This window comes from Homo sapiens, chromosome 11 (genome assembly GCF_000001405.40).
Source record: "Homo sapiens chromosome 11, GRCh38.p14 Primary Assembly".
Lineage (NCBI taxonomy): Eukaryota > Metazoa > Chordata > Mammalia > Primates > Hominidae > Homo > Homo sapiens.
Window position 1 is genome coordinate 49,142,976 of NC_000011.10, and position 22,824 is coordinate 49,165,799.

The 22,824-nt window shown below is 36.3% G+C and overlaps 1 protein-coding gene across 15 annotated transcripts in view; it reads right to left on the bottom strand.

The window, feature by feature from the left end:
• FOLH1 (folate hydrolase 1) overlaps positions 2,117 to 22,824 on the bottom strand; it is a 63,511-nt gene continuing 42,803 nt past the window's right edge. For 8 of the 15 annotated variants that reach the window (XM_047426678.1, XM_017017434.2, XM_047426679.1 and 5 more), the window contains 7 exons: positions 21,730 to 21,797; positions 14,977 to 15,068; positions 13,742 to 13,832; positions 11,253 to 11,517; positions 10,871 to 10,952; positions 5,664 to 5,756; positions 2,117 to 3,970 (listed from right to left, as the gene is read on the bottom strand). In XM_047426678.1, coding sequence (XP_047282634.1) covers positions 3,781 to 3,970; positions 5,664 to 5,756; positions 10,871 to 10,952; positions 11,253 to 11,517; positions 13,742 to 13,832; positions 14,977 to 15,068; positions 21,730 to 21,797 — 881 coding nt within the window. In that variant the 3' untranslated portion in view covers positions 2,117 to 3,780. Of the gene's footprint in view, positions 3,971 to 5,663; positions 5,757 to 10,870; positions 10,953 to 11,252; positions 11,518 to 13,737; positions 13,833 to 14,976; positions 15,069 to 21,729; positions 21,798 to 22,824 lie in introns of those variants that run through there. The other 7 variants (XM_047426681.1, XM_047426682.1, NM_001351236.2 and 4 more) reach the window with 2 other exon arrangements.

Genomic DNA, 22,824 nt, shown 5'->3' on the forward strand with positions numbered 1-22,824 from the left:
TGTGCAAAAATCACAAACATTCCTATACACCAATAATAGACAGAGAGCCAAATCATGAGTAAACTCCCATTCACAATTGCTACAAAGAGAATAAAATACCTGGGAATGCAGCTTACAAGGGATGTGAAGGACCTCTTCAAGGAAAACTACAAACCACTGCTCAAGGAAGTAAGAGAGGACACAAACAAATGGAAAAACATCCCATGCTCATGGATAGGAAGACTCAATATCGTGAAAATGGTCATACTGCCCAAAGCAATTTATAGATTCAATGCTATCTCCATCAAGCTACCATTTACTTTCTTAATAACAGAAAGCTTTAATAATTTGCCCATAGACATACTGTAAGTAAGTGGGAGAACTAGGGTTGGACCTCAGGCAGTCTGTCTCTAAAAACTCTGTTCCTGGTCAGGAGAGGTGGCTCTCACCTGTAATCCCAGCACTTTGGGAGGTGGAGGCAGGTGGATCAACTGAAGACAGGAGTTCGAGATCAGCCTGGCCAACCTAGTGAAAACCCATCTCTACTAAAAATACAAAAAAATTAGCTGGGCATTGTGGCAGGTGCCTGTAATTCCAGCTACTCAGGAGGCTGGGGCAGGAGAATCACTTGAACCCAGGAGGCAGAGGTTGCAGTGAGCTGAGATTGCACCAATGCACTCCAGCCTGGGTGACAGAGCAAGACCCTGTCTCAAAACAAAAACAAAAACAAAAACAACTGTGTTTCTATCATTGCACTACCTCTTATGAATGACAGTGACATTAAATATGTTGCCAAAGTATGTTCCTAAGCCACCAAATTACATATAATATTTTGGGGAGATGATTATTGCATGCTTGCAGAACTGATTGAAACTTGACAAAGCTTTCAAGTATTATGTAGGTTTTGGTCCATTTTTTAGAATAATAATATTCACCTTATCCTACATCTACAGTATTGTCCAACTCTCTAACACTGACATGACAAAAATCCTGTTAGCATGCTCAGCCAAACCCTGTAACAAAGGCATTGTGGAAATCCTAGTGTGCACTGCAGCTTTGATTTTCAAAGCACAGAATGCCTCAGAAAGTCTCATATGCACGCCACTCTGATTACTCACAAAATGAGTGTCATCTATGGACTCTCCCTACTGATAGAGATTGAAGTGAAAATAAAAAAACAAGACTCAGTCTCTAAGGAGCTTATGGTCTAGTAAGGAATATAAGGGAAGGGGCAGTCATTCTGGAAGTATTCCTAGAAGAGATGACATGTAAGCTGAGACCTGAAGGATGAGGGTAGTCTTATCTTTTCTGGGGATAAAGGCTACATGGCAACTGTTGTCATGAGAAAAGATTTTGGGACCTGGCATGGTGGCTCCTGCCTGTAATCTCACCACTTTTGGAGGCCAAGGAAGGTTGATACCTTGAGCCGGAGAGTTATTGACCAGCCTGGGATACATGGCAAAACCGCATCTCTACCAAAAATATAAAAATTAGCCAGGCATGGTGGTGCACACCTGTAATCTCAGCTACTTGGGAGTCTGATGCTGAAGGATCGCCTGAGCCCAGGAAGCAGAGGTTACGTTGAGCTGGGATTGTGCCACTGACCCCAGCCTGGGTGACAGAGTGAGAACCTGTATTAAAAAAAAAAAAAATCTCATCTTTTGCTGGGTTGATGGCCTTCTAATCCATCTAGGCCAGAATGCTTTCTGAAATGCAAATATGCTCGTATCTCTATCCTGCTTAACCTTACTATGGGCTTTTGATAAACTACAGGAAAGTACTTACACTCCTCTGGATGTCTTCTACGCCCTATGTGATGTATTTGGTGCTCAATGTATGGATTGTTCTTCCCACAAATCCCTTGGATTCTAGAAACACTGAGTTCTTTGTATTTCTTTAACATGCCACAATCTTCCATACTTGTTTTTTATCTTGAATAACATGATTACTTTGCCAGTGGGAATACAAATAAATAAAATCACTTTGAAACAGCTTGGCATTGTAAAATTGAAGATGCACACACTTTACAACACAGACATTCAACCTATAGGCAGATACTGTCAGGAAAGAGAATCTCTTGAATATTTGCATTAGGATACATGTTCACAGAAGCAAAATATAGAAAACATTCCAAATATACACCAGCAGAAATAAATACATTTTATTATTCACCAGTTATCCAAATTTGGGTTATCCACTCCAAACTCCCACTTGATTGTCTTCATAAATAGATCTGGGCCCATTAAATAGTTCTTCTTTGTCACGTGTTAATGATGTTAAACTTTGTGAGTAGAAGGCATTGGAGAGATGTTCCAAGAGGGTGCTTTTCAATCTGCTTTCTGTGTGCACCCTTGGCAAACTCTGGCAATGCAAATGACATCTCCAGCATCTGACACGGAGGGCATACAGAGCTACACCAGTGCCCAGATTCTGTAGTTCAGGCTGCTGCTATGGCACCCACTTCCTGAAGTTCATGGTGGCCAGGAGAACCCAGCGGCCAAGAGCTTCTCCTGAAATTGTCCTTTGCCAAATTTGTAGTAGAGCCCCTCTGGCTTGACATTTCTTCATAAACAGCTTTACACATTGGCCCAGAAGACAAGTTTCTGGGGAGTTCTGAAGTGTCAATTTGAAGCAGATTCTTCAAGGGCAACACTACAGCGACTTCTTAACTTTGAGCGAGGCCACAATGTGAGGGGACTCTTCATTGGCTGCTCCAAATTCACCATGGAGACAAGAGCAATTCCTTACATCTGCTCATCACATATTCTTGAGACTTCTCTTTACATATTACTAGACAATATTTCATTGTTCCAATGCTGTAACAATTAATAATTCTTCATATTAACTTTCCCTATTCACATTACTGTATGTTTTCTCTGTCTTGATGGACCCTGAATCCTACCCTCATGTGAATGAATGCTCTATATCAGCAAAATATGGCAAACTACAGCCACAGTGATAATATATTTGAACCCTTAAAAGTCAATGAAAAAAATCAAGTCCCTGAAAATTACACATGGTATGATTGTCTTTACAAAAAGTTCAAAAATACATAATGCCAAAACATGTAAAGGATACAGCCATGTGTGATAAAATTATAAATAATGACAGAGGAAAGATAAATAAACATAAAATTCAAGAAAATGCAAAAGCATAACTGTCATTAGTACATGGGGCATCCAAAGATATTAGAAATGTTATTTTCTTCATATGGCTATTAGGTTCACAAGTGTTCATTTAATTACTATACATATATTTTATACTATAGCCTTTTATATAAATAAAAAATAATTATTTCTTATGCTATAGAGTGATAACATTTACTAAAAGTGTGATTTGATCCATTTCCCAAATAGTGTGCTGAGATAGTGATCCTCTCAGCCCAGGCTGGCCAGGTAGGCCGTGAGGCCTCTGGCTTGGGATAATCTTGTGCATATTCCCCAGTGTGCTCTCTGACATACTGATGTTTTCTTCTGTGTGAAGTGACATGAATAGATTAGACTTGATTCCCTGATAATGCCAGATGAGAGTTTTACTATATTAGGCCATTCTCCTTAGATTTAATACTGAGTTAAATTTTTCCACTTCAGAATAACCTCTTATAATTATGAAATTCAGTTTTAATCCATAGGGAGAAGATAAACAATATAAACACACACATATATAAACACTCACATAACTATATATAATATTCAACTTTATTTCAAATATACCAATTTTAAAATTTATCAATATACCCATTACGATTCTTTCTGAGTGACATACCACACAAATTCAATACGGATTCTCTAAAGAATCCTCTTAGGCTACTTCACTCAAAGTCTCTGCAGCTGCCTGCACTGTGAAGGCTGCAACATAAATCTGTCTCTTCACTTCTCCCCAGGCCTTGGAAGGGTCCACTTTGCTTTCAATATCAAACAGAGCATCATAAATTCCTGGGAATGACTCCCCTGCATACTTGTTGTGGCTGCTTGGAGCATAGATGACATGCCTGTTGATAAAATCGTTTGCTGTTTATTAGGTGCCCAAATGATATACAAGAGAAACACAAGAGCACTCTGCAATTCCTGGATTGCATATTCCTATAACAATTTGAACAAGCCACTTGTCAACTGAACTTCCAAGTTCAATCATCTCTGAAGACTATTATATGAAATCTATAGTAATTAATTATATTTTTATTTCAAACAAATAAATTAAAGTGGTTCAGTGCTACAAAACTAACAATGATGATAGTAACCACAGCAATCATTCTTGGTATTTAATGTTTACTTGCAATTTTTCTGATGTTTAGAAATAAACTCTACACAGTTGATATTAGTATTTCACAGAGAAGGAAACTGAGGTCTGAGAGATCAAGTAACTAAATGATTTGTCTCAAGGCACACGACAAGTAACTGCTGATTTTTTAATATATCATGCTACCCCCTATATTATAGCACAATTGTAATCATTACAGTCTTGCTTGTGATCAGCCAACCCTCTATTGTGGTTTTTTTTTTGTCTTTTTTTAAAAAGTCACACTACCATGTTAGAATACTTAATATAGAGTTTGAAGAATCATCAAAAACAATTTTGTAATGTTCCATGTGACCAAGGCAGAAAATGTTTTATAGAATGGGCTATGACAGTTCATGTAATAGCCCACAGAAGAGAAGGACAAACTCCATAGTAAAGATGTAAATAAGGCCAGAAGCAGTAGCTCATGCCTGTAATCCCATATATTAGGGAGGCCAAGGTGGGAGGATTGCTTGAGGCCAGGAGTTCTAGACGAGCCTGCGCAACATAGGGACACCCTGTCGCTACAAATGAACGTACAAATATTAGCTGGGCATGGTGGCATGTGACTGTAGTCCTAGCTTCTTTGGAGGCTGCTGCAGGAAGATTGGTTGAGCCCAAAAGTCTGAGGCTGCAGTGAGCTAAAATTGCACAACTGAACTCTAGCCTGGGAGACAGAGTGGGACCCTGTCTCTTAGGAAAAAAAGGGGGGGTGGGGGATGGATAAAAATATGCTGCTACTGGTGATCTGATCCAGTCAACCTGCTTGGAAGATGCTCTTACTCCCAAGCCCGACCCTTTGATAATCCCTAGAAAGAAAGTTAGGGCCATTTCTGGCTGTCCAATGATCTATCTCATTCTGCAATATTTAGAAGATCAACCTGGGGACAGTCAATGTTTGGCAGAAAAAAATCCAACTGTCAGGATTTAGGAGGAAATAAAATATCTAAATATCAACATTAGGGAAAAGAATAAATAAATATATATTTATTATATACATTATATATAGAGAGATGTTTGGGTTCTGTGTATACATAAGTAAAAATATATTTAAAATAGAAAAGGAGCTAAAATTATACACACCAGAATATAACAATGATTTTATATTTTTCTGATAAAATTGGGGAGATTTTTATTTTTTGTCATGGCTTTCTGGATCTTCTATATTTTCTAAAATAAATTTATATTCTTTTATAATCAGAACAAAGATACTCAAAATAAAGATATGCAAAAATCATATTACATTATATGAAGAAACAATACAACTATCACTTACTACATATATTTTGAAATTTTCTATTTGCTTGCAAGAAATCAACTACAATATTTTTTCCACAGTGAAAAAAATAAAAATAATTAGAAGAAAAAGTGATATTACAGAAAGGAGTCATATTTTCTTTTCTTACCTATAAAAAGGCCTGTCTGGTAACCCTAATGGATCAATAAATGCTCTTTCCAGAAACATGAGTTGATCATTCATCATTCTTAATACTATTGGGCTGAGAAAGAAAATGAATATAATTATAACTTCATGAAAATATGTTTCTACTCAGAAAATAAAAATTTCAGAACAAAACTGAATTTAGTTATCTCCGGGGATTGGTTTCAGGACCACCCTCTACACCAAAATTTGTGCATACTCAAGTCCTGCAAGGAGGACACATGTATGTGAAAAGTCGGCCCTCCTCCTTTGTGGAATTTTTTTTTATTATTATACTTTTAAGTTCGAGGGTACATGTGCACAACGTGCAGGTTTGTTACACATGTATACATGTGCCATGTTGGTGTGCTGCACCCGTTATCTCACTCATAGGTGGGAATTGAACAATGAGAACACTTGGACACAGGGTGGGGAACATCACACACCAGGGCCTGTCGTGGGGTGGGGTGAGGGGGGAAGGATAGCATTGGGAGGTATACCTAATGTAAATGACGAGTCCTCTGTGGAATTAACAGGGTGAAAATGAACAAACTACCAAACAAATTAAATTGATCTCTCGGTATAATGATCCAGATTTAAGTCTAAAAGTTACTTAAAATTATATCGTTTCAAGTGATTTTCAGAATGGTTTAAGTACAGCGTTCTTGGAGCCTGATATGACTTTCTGGATTAACTTGCTCTGCCTCAGTGAGGAAATGTAGCTGTGTATGTGGAATCTGAAGCCACATCTGATCTCCCTTGGGTTAGCTGCCCCCAGTATAACTCTTACCACATGCTTAATCCCCCTTTCACATCTTAGTCTTCATGTTGTTAAGACAATGAGATAGGCAATTATATAAAATAGAAAATGTTTGTGGAACACATGGCTAGTAGTCCAAATGGAATGTAACAGTTTTTTTTTAAGTTTCTATAATTCTCTTACTTTATATTTTTCATTAGTTTTTCATTAGCTACATCTGAGTTTCTCAGATTCAAGCTTGTAGAGTGAGCATCATTCTGTGATAAAAGTTCTAATATATCAAAGCTAAAAGAAAGATGCTTGTTGAGATTTTTTCCACATAAATGAATTTTCTCAGTTAAAATACTTTTGTTCTAGATTTATGTCCATCCTACTTTTAGATATTTTTAATGAAATCATTTTATGTATGCAATGCTAACATTTTCAAATGTAAGCTTGAAAATAAAAGATTTAATTTGGCAAAATAAAAAGTTTTCCATATTTAAAAATAACAAGAATAGTCAGCCCTCCATATATGTGGGTTTTAGTCCTTCAATACTGTATTTTATTTTGTTTTCTTAAGAGATGGAGTCTTGCTCTGTTGCGCAGGCTGGAGTGCAGTGGCTTAATCATAGCTCAGTATAGCCTTAAACACCTGAGCTCAAGCAATTCCTCTGCCTCAGCTTCCTGAGTACCTGGGATTACAGTGAATAATACTGAATTTTCCATCTGTGTTTGCTTGCTAATGTGAAATCTATGGATAGAGAGGGCTCACTGTATTAATTGAAAAAAATTCGTAAATAAGTGGACCTGTGCAGTTCAAATCACTGTTGTTCAAATGTCAATTGTAAATTTTAACATTCTGTAATATGCAAATTAAGAACAATAACATACATAGCTATGACATCTTTAAAATCTTATAAAATACTATACTGCTCAGGCTTATAAAAGCACAGAAACAGTTGTATGTGCAAATGGAAAAAATAATAGTGATTTTTATTTACATTGGCATAATTAACTGATCAACCCAGATATACAAATATAGGCAAGATTTTCTTCACCTTAGGTATCCTAGCAATCTACTCACTGAAGTAATATCAATATTAAAATAAGATGACTTGCTAATGTTTAGTAAGATGCCTGGCAAATTATAAATATTTACCAAGTGATAACTAATAATATTCCTTTTATTTTTAAAGCTAAACCTATTATGAACACAACAGATGGTGATTACTTAAGTCTTTCAACAATATTTGGATACCTGCTATTTATCAAACACTCCCTGCTTTTACAGAACTTACATTCTAAAAGGAGTGTTGGGGTTGTTATTATAATAAGAATGATTCAATATAATTGAAAGTTTATCAGCAAGCTCTGAATACTTCAACAATGAGTTACTGAATTTAATATACCAATTATTTCACAATTTAATTAACTGAGAAAAATCATTACAATAAGAAAGCATGAATCATCTTGTTCATTAATTTACTTCTTGCTTTTCATAATTTAGTTTTACTAAAAGAGCATTTAGTGATCATTTCCTATGTGCCAATTACTGTTCTGAATCTTTATACAAAATGTGATTTTTAATTTTCAGAGCAATTCTGCAAGTTGGGTAGGGTAACAGCCCCATTTTGTAGATGAGATAACAAAGGATCATGAGTTAAATAACTTGCCTAAATTCACACTAGAAAGTTTTAGAGTGAAATAGGAGATTGATATTGTTCTTTCAACTGCACCTTGCCGACAAAAGGAAAATAGGAACAACTTAAACTCCCATAATTTGGATTTGAGCTATTTTTAACATTTATGTATTTGGCATCATGAATTCAGATTCTGTGATAGTATAAAGGTAAATGAAACACAGAATACCTGTTAGCAACTCCGATAAACAGTTGAGACAATCGAATGAAGGATAATTTCAATAAGATGCAATGGGTTTCGGAATCAAATTCACAAAGAATTGCTACAAGTACAAAAACTCGTGGCCACACACACGTAAATGCGCGCGTGCGCGTGCGTGCACACACACACACAGACACACACACACACACTTCTCTTTCTCTGTATCCTGTGTTAACGTCTTATATTCTTTGATGGGGCAAGAAGTGATACAAGAAAAGCAGGATAAAGTCATGTCTCTTCCTTAGATTTCAAAGTTTTGGTTGAGAAATTCAACATTCAGTTTAATTTACTTAGTCAGAATTTACTATTATGTGCAAAGCACTGCTCAGGTGTTTCAGAATTTGTAAGTATCATATAGGGAACAGAGTGTATCTTTACTATCACTTACAGAAAATAAAACAAATATAGAAATACTAAAGGAAGGGGAAGCTGAGTGTGCCAAACAATAAGTGTCCTAAACAAACCACAATTCAAACCATGAGACATTTTGTCAGAGGGAGAAAACATTTTTTCTTTTAAATACAAAAAGAAAACCAGTTTTATAGGATACATGGTGTTTGGGATCTCCTTAAAATGTATTTCTTATTGTTGACTTTTTTACTCACATATAAAAATTATAAAGAATTGAAAAGAATAGGAAAACAATTCTTCCAATATTCCCTGAGGATAGCACAATTATTATAATAATTCATTAATTCCCTTAAAGTTTTTCCTGTATTTGTTAAATAAAAATTAATCAAATTATATTTACAATTTTACAACCTTTTTGCTTACTTCATATTTTATTCTAAGTATCTTCTATTATGTTGTATTTCTAATAATCCATTGTTAGGATTATAAAATGTTCAAATTGGTGAATATCAAATTTTTTAGTAATTTCTCTTCTCTTAGGCATTAGGTTATTTTGAATTACTTGCTATTATAATTTTATACTTCAAATCTTTCTCCAGGCAGCCTTTCTTTTCCAAAATTGAGACTTTTTCCTAAGAAATAATCCAAGAAGTGGAAATACTATGTCAAAGCACAGGACTCTGTGACAGCTCTTGAACACATTAGCAATATGTATCTATCTTTTTCAAAAAGGCTAAAATAATTCATAATGCTATCAGAAAAGCATGGAGAGCATATGCTTCAGTGTACCAGCTACAGCAATGGGCAAACCAAGGTTTAAATTGTTATTAATGTGTTATAAAAATAACATCACATTACTTTCATTTGTATTTCTGAATTATGCATTAGTGAACTGCAATATTTTGCCATGTTTCTTTGCAGGTGTATCTTTGACAACATTTGTAAAATTATTTGTCTTGTTTCTTACCGATATTTTCAGCTGGTTCTTTTGGACTGTTTAAATTAATTTTCAAAAAATATTTTTATAATGTATATATTACTCTCCATTTTTGCTAGAAAATAAGTTTTCAACTTTCTTAATTTTTCTTGTGAATATTAATTTTCGTATTCTGAACCATTTCAAATGGTCTCAAATCTGATTGCATCATTTCCCCATTGCTTCTAAACTTGGCATCTTTCAAGAAATTTCCATTTTTACTAAATAATTCTTTACACCTGTTGTTTATGTTAGCATACAATGTGAAGTGCGATTCTGAATTTACTTTTATAGCAGTTATAGCAGGTACTAACATAGTTCATATAATATTATGGTTGAGTAATCTTTCCCCATTAATTTTTGCTGTATCATTTATTACTAATATTTCCTTATAGATCACCAAGCCTATTTCTACATCATCTACTGTAATCTTTTTATGTGTCCTTACATCAGCTCCTGGGGATTTGATATTTATATCATGATACTATATTTAATACACAGATCTCTGCCCTCAAAATTATACTTTAAAAAAATTACCTTAGTATTCTCACCAAGTATTTTTCCTTCCATCTTAAAATTTTGTTCAAATTGTGTTGTACTTGTGTAATCTTACACAGAATTAATCCTAAATGTTTAACATTTCCAAAATTAATGGCTTCACAATATTTGCTATTCTGGATAAACAGAATTTTGCCAGATGGAAGTGGAAATAAGGAGCTCTATGTGGAGGTAATGACAAAAACAAAGGAGGTAGAAAGAAATCATGTTTTGAAAAATAAATAGTCTGGCTGAGTTATGATGTACAGATACTGAAAAAGCAAGAAATAAAACTGGAAACAGCTGGGGTCACACAGTAGAGGACCTTCAATGTTAAGCAGAGTATTTTGTAACTGATCAAATGTCAGGAGGGAGGGACTGACATTTCTGAGCGGCACAATTGCCACTCAGAATGTCGAAAGTAGGTCTTTTGAGATGGGGCAGCCCTACATAGGACGTGCTAGAGTGGAAAGACAGAAAACAGCAGGAAACGACACTTGTATACCTATGTAACAAACCTGCACGTTCTGTCCATGTATCCAGCAACTTAAAGTAAAACAAATTTAAAAAAAAGAAAACAGCAAGAAATTCCCAAAGCTAGTTCAGCAACAGTCATGTTAGTTTACTTTTAAATATATATATATACACACACATACACACATATGCACATATATGTAGAACATACTTGCTTTTGTCAAAGTCCTGGAGTCTCTCACTGAACTTGGAAGCAATTTCTGTAAAATTCTTTACTGCAGAAAAAAGTGAATCTGAAATAGAAATTGGGATCATCAAATGCTTAAAGAACATAATTTCTAATGGCACTGCTCTATAGTTCAAGAAAAGGAACAATATAGAAGCCATCATCTTTTGTGTTTTACAAGGTATTTATATTTTTATATTATAAGACGTGAGCATCCATAAAATGGAAAATACATTTATAGACATAAACAGAATATTGGATCACTTGAAATAGCAATAAATAATAAATGACCTAAGATAGCCCATTATATTTAGGAGATTAATAGAACCATACAGATGAGGAATTTGAAAAAGGAAGGGTAACATACCAAATGATACACTGTATGTCTTCATTTCCTGTGGATGTTTCATAGAAATACTGTAGATTTTGTCAGCATACTTTCTTAAAACTACAGCATAATCTCGACAATCAAAAGGGAGCACTATGGAATTGGCTAGCTCAAACACCATCCCTCCTCGAACCTGGGCCACAGTGAGGTGATATTTAAACATTGGATCATAAAACTTTTCCACCAACTCATATGTTTCATAGACACTGTGATACAGTGGATAGCCGCTGAATTTGTTTGTTTCCTACAGAAAAAACAACAAAACATATCTCTTATAGGATAGCTTACAAAAAATGATTAGCACCATATTTACTATTAGTATTAGTAAGATTGGTCAGTGATGGATCAAGGAAAGTACTTAAGCATCTCAATAAGCTACATCCTAAATGGCTAATATTATGATACATAAACACATTCCAGGCTTGTATCAATTAAAATATGTGTATATGATATAACAAATATTATTTAAAAATTATTTGAAAGGGACCAAACTGGCTTGCCTCTAAGAATGCAGAACATTGCATTCTTAGATTCATGTTTTAAGAATCTGAAAAAAAAGACAAGACAATCTTGCATTTGGATAAAAAGAAGACGAATTGTTAAAGGCAAGTACATAAGTATTACACAATATTATATAGGAGAAGACACTAAATTGCTTAATCACTAAAATTCCATGGATAAATGATTGTCTGACAAGCAGTGTACTGAAGGCTGGAGAGTCTGAGTGGTGAGGGGTGCAGTAGTGGATCCAAAATCTCACTAAGGAGAGAGAAGGGAGGCCCAGACAGGTGTCAGGAAAACCAAAAGTATAGGTAGAAGGAAGGACTTTTCAAACTGTGAATTGCTGGTTTATCACTTTTGATCATCTTAAGATGCTTATTTTTTATTATTAATATAAAAGGACATTTTATGTACTGATGTGTTGAAGAGACTGGGATTCTGGAATTACCCTGCCAGGGTTTGAATCTAGGCTTCAGGACTTACTACCAAAAACTTTAGGTGGTCATTTGACTTTTCTTTGTTGTAATTTTTTCGTAGTAAAATGTAGACAATATTAATATTTATCCTCACTATCACCTCCTGCATAACTCTGCCTAACCTCCTACCTCACAGACAGGAGACTGAAGATTTTCCATCTGGGAAGAATAGCCCATGAGGAAAGGCTTACAGAAACTTAATGTCAACTCTAAATCACCAAATGTCTTTTCTGTATTTGGAGTTGAGCTCGATCTCTTATTATTGCAATATTCTTATTGGAATAGTTTTGAATGAACTCTTCCTTACCATTTTTATAACTGTGAGAATGATTTTTCTTTATAACATAAAATTTAAAATTGAAAAAGTATCAGGATTAAAATATTACTTATAAATATGGATGTATCATAAAAGTTGACAAAGGTTTCATCTGATGAACAGAAATCAGGGGTGGTATGAATATGAAATGGAAATAAGAAACAACTGTTTTTAATTATAAACCACTGTTCTTATAAAACTACTTGACATTTTATAAACTATGTACCCAATTTACTTTGAAGAAAATGAAAACCATATATATATATATATATATATATATATATATATATATATAATCAACAACAAAAGAAAGGGAATCATGACTTTTACACGTACACAGTGTATTATACTGATATGATTTGACTCTGTGTCCCCACCCAAATCTCACCTTGAATTATGATAATCCCCACGTGTCATGGGAGAGACTTTATGGGAGGTAATTGAATCATGGGGGACGAGTTTTCCTGCACTGCTCTCGTGATAGTGAATAAGTCTCATGTGAGCTGATGGTTTTATAAAGGGAAGTTCCCCTGTATATGCTCTCTTGCCTGCTGCCAGGTAAGATGTAACTTTGCTCCTCACTCACCTTCAGCCATGATTGTGATGCCTCCCCAGCCATATGAAACTGTGAGTCAATTAAACATATTTCCCTTTTAAATGACCCAGTCTCGGGTATGTCTTTATTAGGAGCAGGAAAACAGACTAATATATATATCATTTTTCATTTGTTTAATGACTTGTTATTTGTTTAATAATTGGAGATACAGTAAGAGATGGAAATCCAAATACACTCATTAATTTTGAATGATAATGGGGAGATACTAATTTTGAATAAGGAGGAGGGTGAAATCAAAGACAATTCCTACATTTCCAACTTAAATGACTGAGTGAATGCAATGCCACCAAATGAAACAGAAAATATGTTTAAAGGAGTACACAGAAGTTCACATTTGCAGACATGAGTATTGATACCAACTGACACTTGAATTTAGGGTTGGAATACAAGATATAGGAGTTATCCTACGTAGTAGTGATACTGTCAACCATTGAGACTTCTCCCTCTGCTTTCAAATTTCTCTATTCCTCTAATGCTTGAGTCACTTTTTGGAGTCAGAATTATTTGTTTAGTTAAAACATATTCATAAATAATCTTAGATAATTTGAGATTCACTTACCCAATTTTTAGTATACCGTGCTCTGCCTGAAGCAATTCCAAGTCGTTGGAAGAACACCTCAAAATCATTTCCAGATCCCAATTTGCTTATCCTTTTAGAGATAAAACAACAGAATTATTTCAAAGTAATTTGTTCATTAAGCACAGATTACATGTCCATTAAACTAAACCCCATTCTTACTATTATAAATGTAATTTTAAACATACAGCTTTAGACATGCAGCAAAAACATGAAAAGAATATTAATTTTGATCACAAAATATCTCCTTCTATGAGACTATTTCGTGTAGGAATGACTATTTTATGTCACATTTTGTTAAAGGTTTCTGAAGTTGGAAAACATTTTCCTTAAGATTATTTCATTCCATTTATCATCTTTATTTGTTGTACATAATAGAGTGAAAAGCAAATATTTTTCAGATAATTTGGACATAAATTTTGCCCTTAATAATATAAATAGTGCTGTTGACATCGATAAACTCAGAGCACTGAGATATTTATTCTTCTTCCCTTGCTTGTGAAGATACAACCAATGTTGAAATGATGCTTGCATTTTTATTGCAATAAGCAAAATATTTGTTAACTATATGATATTCAGAAAAAGGATAATTACAAGGTGATGAGGTGGCAGAAAAACGAGGAAAATTACTTTTCACCATTATCTCTATCATGGGTTGAGTATCCCTAATCCAAAAATCCAAAATCTGTATCAAAACATTTCATGCACCCCAAAAATAAATACACCTACTACATACTCACAAAAATTAAAGATTAGAACATTTTAAAAAATGCTGCAAAATCCAAAAGTTTTTAAGCACCTACATGACACTGAAAGGAAATGCTAACTGAAGCATTTCAGATTATGAATTTTCAGATTAGGCATGTTCAACCAGTAAGTATAATGCAAATATTCCAAAATCTTAAAAAAATCCAAAGTCCAAAACACTTCTCATCCCACGCATTTCATATAAGAAATGACCAATCTTTATAATCTGCTGAAATGTTCCATATGTATATATTACATATTCTAAAGAGAAATCACATTTTGATATCCTGCAGATTTAACTACAAAACACATAGTAATATTTTATTTGTGAACCAAAGTAATGCTTTTCTTTATCAGATTTTAGACCATTTTGAAACTTAATTTTTCACTTAATGATTGAAAGAAAATGTGCTTTTATTTTCAAAACAATCCCACACTGAATTCAGTGGAAACTTCATTCATTTGTTTACCTGGGCATGCCACTGAACTCTGGGGAAGGACTTTTTTTAGTCCAACTTTCATAAAGAGATTTGCCTTCAAAGCCTTCATCAGGGCTTTTCAGCTACACAAATTAAAAGAAAAAAAGAGAATACTTACAAATCAGATATATTAAAAACTAGATGTCCATTAACCAGAAGTGAGTAACTAAGCCACAATTCAGCAAAAACAAGGGATGCTATCCATACATTAGCAGTCATCAAGAATTATAAGTTTCTGACAAGTGGGAAAATACTCATGTGATTATATATAGGTGAACTATATTATAAAAATAAATGTATGAAGTGCATAGCATAAACAGGCTACACCAAATTCATACCAAGCCATTGTCTTTAGATGAATGGCATAGCATATGATCTTTTTGTCTATTTTTCTGAATTAAAAGATACTACAGTCAAAACTATTTCTCATCTCACAACAAAGAAAATAAAAAGAAGTAAGCTGGTTAAGGGTAAGGATTCAATTTAATATTGTTTCTTGCCAGTAGGGTTGCCAAAGTCATTCAATAATATACAATAAACCGCAATGTCTGTTCTTGTACCAGTATCATGCTGTTTTGATTACTGTAGCCTCATAGTATAGTTTGATGTCTCCAGCTTTGTTCTTTTTGCTTAGGATTGCCTTGGTTATATGGGCTCTTTTATGGATCCATATGAATTTTAAAACAGATTTTTCAAATTCTGTGAAGAATGCCAACAATAGTTTAATAGGAATAGCACTGAATCTATAAATTACTTTGGGCAATATGGCCGTTTTAATGATATTGATTCTTCCTATCCATGAGCATGGAATGTTTTTTCCATTTGAATATGTCATCTCTGATTTCTTAGAGCAGTGGTTTGTAGTTCTCCTTGTAGAGATCTTTCACCTCCTGAGTTAGCTGTATTCATAGGTATTTTGTTCATTTTGTGGTAATTGTGAATGAGTGGTAATTTGTGACTTGGCTCTTGGCTTGTCTGTTGTTAGTGTATAGGAATGCTAGCAATTTTTGTACATTGATTTTGTATCCTGAGACTGCTATAGTTGCTTATCAGCTTAAGGAGCTTTTGGGCTTTGACAATGGAATTTCCTAGATATAGAATAATGTCATCTGCAAACAGGGATAGTTTGACCTCCTCTCTTTTTATTTGAATGAGCTTTATTTTTTTATCTTGCCTGATTACCCTGGCCAGCACTTCCAATACTATGTTGAATAGGAGTGATTAGAGAAGAATCCTTATTTTGTGTCGGTTTTGAAAAGGACTGCTTGTAGCTTTGGCCCATTCAGTACGATGTTGGCTGTGGGTTTGTCATATATGGCTCTTATTATTTTGAGGTTTGCTCCTTCAATACCTAGTTTATTGATAGTTTTTAACATGAAGAGATATTCAATGTTATTGAAAGCTTTTTTCTGCATTTATTGAGATAATCATGTGGTTTTTGTTTCTAGTTCTGCCTATGTGATTAACTGCATTTATTGATTTGCATATGTTGAATCAACCTTGCATCCCTGGGATGAAGCCTACTTGATTGTGGTGGATAAGCTTTCTAATGTGCTGCTGGATTCTGTTTGCCAGTACTTTATTGAGGATTTTTGCATCATTGTTCATCATAGATACTGGCCTGAATTTTTGTTGCTGTTGTATCTCTGCCAAATTTTGGTATTGGGATGATGCTGGCCTCATAGAATTAGTTAGGGAGGAGTCTCTCCTCCTAATTATTTGGCAATAGTTTCAATAGAAATAGTACCAGCCCTTCTTTGTACCTCTGGTAGAATTAAGCTGTGAATCCATTTGGTCCTTGGCTTTTTTTGGTTGGTAAGCTATTTATTACTGCCTCAGTTTCAGAACTCATGATTGGCCTGTTCAGGGATTCAATTTCTTTCTGGTTCAGCCTTCAGAAGGTGTATGTTTCCAGGAATTTATCCTTTTTTTTCTTTTTCCTTTTCTTTTTTTTTTTCTGTTTTTGTTTTGTTTTGTTTTTTGATGAAGTCTTGCACTGTCACCTGAGCTAGAGTGCAATTGCGCGATCTCTGCTCACTGCAACCTCGTTCACGCAATTCTCCTGCTTCAGCCTCCCGAGCAGCTGGGATTACAGGCACCTGCCACCACACCCAGCTAATTTCCATTTCTTCTAGATTCTTTAGTTTATGTGCATAGAGGTGTTTATAATGTTCTCTGATGTTTGTATTTCTGTGGGGTCAGTGAGAATATTCCCCCTTATCATTTCTGACGGTGTTTATTTGAATCTTATCACTTTTCTTCTTTATTAGTCTAGTTAGCACTCTATTTTTTATTAATTTTTTTCAAAAAATCAGCTCCTGGATTCGTTAATATTTTGAAGGGTTTTTCATGTCTCCAACACCTTCAGTTCAGCTGTGGTCTTGGTTACTTTGTGTCTTTTGCTAGCTTTGGGGTTTGTTTGCTTTTGTTCTCTAGTATATTTAGTTTTGACACTAGGCTGTTAACTTGAGATCTTTCTAATGTTTTTTTCTTTTTTTTTGAGACGGAGTCTCTCTCTGTTGTCCAGGCTGGAGTGCAGTGACGTGATCTCAGCTCACTGCAACCTCCACCTCCCGGGTTCAAGCGATTCTCCTGCCTCAGCCTCCCGAATAGCTGGGACTACAGGCACCCGCCACCACGTCTGGCTAATTTTTTGTATTTTTAGTAGAGACGGGGTTTCACTGTGTTTGCCAGGATGGTCTCGATCTCCTGACCTTGTGATCTGCCCTCCTCGGCCTCCCAAAGTGCTGGGATTACAGGTGTGAGCCACCACACCTGGCCAGATATTTCTAACTTTTAATGTGGGCATTTAGTGCTATAAATTTCCCTTTTAATTCTGCCTTAGCTGTGTCCCAGAGATTCTGGTGTGTCATATCTTTGTTCTCATTAGTTTCAAAGAACTTCTTGATTCCTGCTTTTATCTCATTATATACCCACAAGTCATTCAGGAGCAGGTTATTCAATTTCCATGGAATTGCATAGTTTTGAGTGAATTTCTTACTCTTGATTTTGAATTTGCACGGCAGTACAAGAGACGTTTTTAATTTCATTTCTTTTGCTTTTGCTGAGGAGTGTTTTACTTCCAATTATGTGATCAATTTTAGAGTAAGTGCCATGGGCTGATGAGAAGAATGTCTATTCTGTTGTTTCTGGGTGGAGAATTTTGTAGATATCTATCAGGTCCATTTGATCCAGTACTCAGTTTAGGCCATGAATATCTTTGTTATTTTATGTCTTGAAAATTAATTAATATTTTCAATAGGCTGTTAAAGTCTACCACTATTATTGTGTGGGAGTCTAAGTCTCTTTGAAGGTCTCTAAGAACTTGCCTTATGAATCTGGGTGCTCCTGTGTTATGTGCATATATATTTAGGACAGTAAGCTCTTCTTGTTGAATTGAATCCTTTACCGTTACGTGATGCCCTTCTTTGTCTTTTTTTTTATCTTTGTTGGTTTAAAGTCTGTTTTGTCAGAAACTAGAATTGCAACTCCTGCATTTTTCTGTTTTCTATTTGCTTGGTAGACTTTCCTTCATCTATTTATTTTGACTTATGTGTGTCATTGCATATGAGAAGGGTCTCTTGAAGACAGGATACCAATAGGTCCTGGTTCTTTATCCAGCTTGCCACTCTATGTATTTTAATTGGTGTATTTAGACCATTTACATATAAGATTAGAATTGAAATGTGTGGATTTGATCCTGTCATCATGATGTTAGCTGGTTATTCTGCAGACTTATGTGATTGCTTTATAGTATCACTGGTCTGTGTACTTCAGTGTGTTTTTGTCGTGGATGGTGATAGTCTTTCCTGTCCATATTTAGTACTTCTCTCAATAACTCTTGTTAAGACAGGTCTGGTGGTAACAAATTCCCTCAGCATTTGCTTGTCTTGAAAGAATCTTATTTCTCCTTCACGTATAAAGCTTAATGTGGTCGGATATGAAATTCTGGATTGGAATTTCTTTTTTCTAAGAATGTTGAACATTGGCCTCCAATCTCTTCTGGCTTGCAGGGTTTCAGCTGAGAGGTCCACTGTTAGGCTGATGGGCTTCCCTTTGTAGGTAACCTGGCCTTTCCCTCTAGCTGCCTTTAACATTTTTTCTCTCATTTTGTCCTTGGAGAATCTGATGAGTATGTGTCTTGGGGATGATCTTCTCAAGTAGTATCTTACTGAGGTTCTCTGCATTTCCTGAATTTGAATGTTGGCCTATCTAGCTATGTTGGGAAAGTTCTCATGGATTATATCCTGGAATATGTTTTCCAAGCTGGTTCCATTCTTCCTATCTCTTTCAAGTACACCAATCAGTCATAGATTCAGTCTCTTCACATAATCACATATTTCTTGGTGGTTTTGTTCATTCCTTTTTCTCTATTCTTGTCTGCCTGTATTATTTCAGAAAGACAGTCTTCAACTCTAAGATTCTTTCCTTCACTTGGTCTATACTGCTATCAATACTTGTGACAGCATTTGTAGTATTTTTCAGCTCTATTCTTCTCTAAACTGGCTCATTTTACTGTCAGTTCCTGCAATGTTTTAACATGATTTTTAGCTTCCTAGAATTGGGTTACAACACGCTCCTTTACCTCAGTAAACTTTGTCCCTATCCATATTATGAATTCTACTTCTGTCATTTCAGGCATCTCAGCCTCAACCCGGTTCCGAAACCTTGCTGGAGAAGTGATGCAGTCATTTGGAGGAAAGAGGGCACTGTGGCATTTTGAGTTTTCAATGTTCTTGTACTGATCCTTTCTCATCTTTGTGGGCTTATCTGCCTTCAATCTTTGAGGTTGGTGACCTTTGAGTGGAGCTTGTCCTTTTTTTTCTTTTCTTTTTTTTTTTTTTAAACAGTCTAGCCACTTTTCTGCAGGGCTGCTGTGTTGTGCTGGGGGGTCGACTCCAATCGCTAGTTGCCTCAGATTTTACAGTACCTGGAGGAATCATCGGTGATGGCTGTGAAACAGTAAAGAATGCAGCCTGCTTCTTACTGTAGGACCTCCGTCCAAGGGAGTTATAGACATGTTGCCAGCCTGAACAGACCTGTAGGAGGTGGCTGGAGACCCCACTAGGAGGTCTTACCCAGACAGGAGGAAAAGGATCAGGGACCCAGTTTAAAAAGTAGCCTGGCCACGTTTTTGTAGAGCAACTGTGCTGTGGTGAGGGTCCACTTCAGCCCTCGGTTGTCTTGGACACTCCGAAGTCTGAAACCTGGGATGGCTAAGTCACCCAAACAGCAAAGATGGTGGTTTGCCCCTCCTCCTGGCAGCTCCATCCCAGGGTGTCCTAAAACCTCTGTTAGCCAGAGAACACCAGTGGGGGTAGCCAGAAACCCTAGTTGGGAGGCTCCACCCATTGATGAGGAACGTAGTTGGGGATCTGCTTTATAAGGAAGTCTGGCCACGTTTTTGTGAGGCCACTGTGCTGTGCTGGGGTACCGCTTCCACCCCCAGTCATCTTGGGCTCTCCAAAGCCTAAAGGTGGGAATGGCTAAGCCACCCAAACAGCAAAGATGGCAGCCCACCCCTCCACCCCCACCTCCCTGCCCCCCACCACCACCCAAGAGCTCTTTCCCAGATAGGCACAACACTGCTACCAGTGGCTGGCTGGAAATCCAAGCCAGTGGGTCTTATCCTGTGAAGTGCTGTGGAAGTGGGGCCTGCAGACCATCACTGCTCAGGCCCTTGAATTCAGCCTCTTTTTTATGGGTATGTATGGGGGTCTAACCTCCTGCTGTGCTGGAGTTGCAGTTACTTTTGCCATGAAGCCTGGAAAGCTGGTGTATCTAAAGCTCCTGTGTCTCTGTGCATGCCTGAGTGGCTGTTCTGCTAAGACTCCATGCACCTGTGTATCAGACTGAAGGCCCTGGTGGAGTGGGTTCACAAGGGTATCTGCTGACCTAAGCGTTGCAAAGATCCATGGAAAAAGCATGGTTTCCTGGGGTTGCACATTCGCTCATCATTTTCCTGGGTGGGGGAGGTTCCCTTGACTCTGTGTCATTCCCAGGTGGGCCATCGTCCTGCCTTGCTTTTCTCCATTCTCCTTGGGTTGGGTTGTTTCCTTGATTAGTCCCAATGTGAGTATCTGCTCGTTTCAGTTGAAGGTGCTGTATTTACTTGCCCCTTCAATTTCTCTTTGTGAGAGCCACACACCATAGTTGCTTCTAGTCAGTCATCTTGGTCACTCCTCCATTCCATTCTTTTGAAACCAAAGCTTAATGGCATTTAAATTTTATTTATAATCCCTATCTGAAAAAATGTAATTGTGATCTCATCTAGCCTCTGTCCCTGGAAGCCAGCACCTGGTATTCTTATGAATATTCTTTCTCAATCAGTTAGAACATTTAATGATTCCTGTGTTCTGAATTAATTGGTATCACTATACTGAAGAGTATAAACAAGTTTTTTAATTAAGGAGTTGAGCCATAGGACCAAGTCTTGGTTCGGCTACCGTACAAGTTGTGTGTGACTTTGGTGGCCAATGTTCTTTGAGCTCAGTTTCACTGTTTTAAGAATGGAGATGGTAGACATGATGCTACTAATGGGCTACCTCACACTGGTGTGGTGAGAAATGAGGCAATCTGTGTAAACAGTTTACTAGATGTGATGGTCTGTGAAGATGTGATGTCATATATGTTATATGAAATGAAGACAAGAAGTTATAAAACACCACCTATGTTTAACATAATACCTCAAGAAAACATCATTTGTAGAATTTGGGTTTTCTTAAATTATATGTAATTATATACCTCTTTTGTTAGGTTGTGTACCAAGCTGTACATCAGCGGTGTACAATCAACTCTCAGAGTGTAGTTTCCTGAAAAATAAGAAAAGAATAGATTTTAAAATTTAATTTCTTTCTGTTATTATTTTCTTCAAAGACCACTGCTAAATTCCTACCAGAATGATTGTTTTAAAACCTGATTTCAACTGTAACTCTCCAATGGCTTCCCAACTAACTCTGTAAAGTCCATCATTCTCACCATGGCCCACACTGCCATATATGAAACCCTAGGTCACCTCTCAAAATCTGCATTTTACATTCTGCCCAAGAATACTCCCTCAGCATCTTTGCACACACTGTCCTTCCAGCCTGGAACAGTATTCTGCATTATATCTGCATGACTTACTCCTCCTCCTCTGGTCTAATGTCATGTTTTTCTGAGAGATTTCCCCTGATCACCCTACCTAAAATAGCACTCTCTTACCCCCTAATTTTAGCCACTCTCTCTTTTAACCTTGGCTCTTGTTTCTCTATATTACTCATCTATTTAACATAAAACATATTAAGTACTTGTCTTTTTATTATTGGCCCTCCCACTAGACGATAAGTCCCCTGGGATAAGGTGCACTCTCTTGTTTGCTGCCATACCCCAAGTGTTTAGAACAATCCTAGAATCTGGCATTTAACCAATCAATATTTGTTGTAACAATGAATTTGTGAACCAGGTGCTCTTCTTAGAGTTTCAGTCCCCATTCCTCAGGAGGGGGCTGGTGGTTGTGACAATCAAGTGAAGCACCCAGGAGAGGTGTTCTTGGGAAGCCAACACAGCACAGGGAGGGGCTGCTGACTCAGGAGGAGTTTTGGGGGAGGGAAGTCAAGACAAATTCACAAACTTGGAGAGGGGACTCTTGAACTGGGTTTTCTAGAACCAGGACACAGTTGGGGGGAAAAATGGTATTTGCAGCTAAAGGCATAGCCTGTGCGAATGCCCAGAAATGTAAAAGCACATGAAACACTCAGAGGATGGCAACTAGCTTTTATCCCAAAGCCTCGGATCCATGTTTGAGAACAGCAAAAGTTGAGGCTTTTAAAATAGTGACACCACAACAGAATTGTTTAT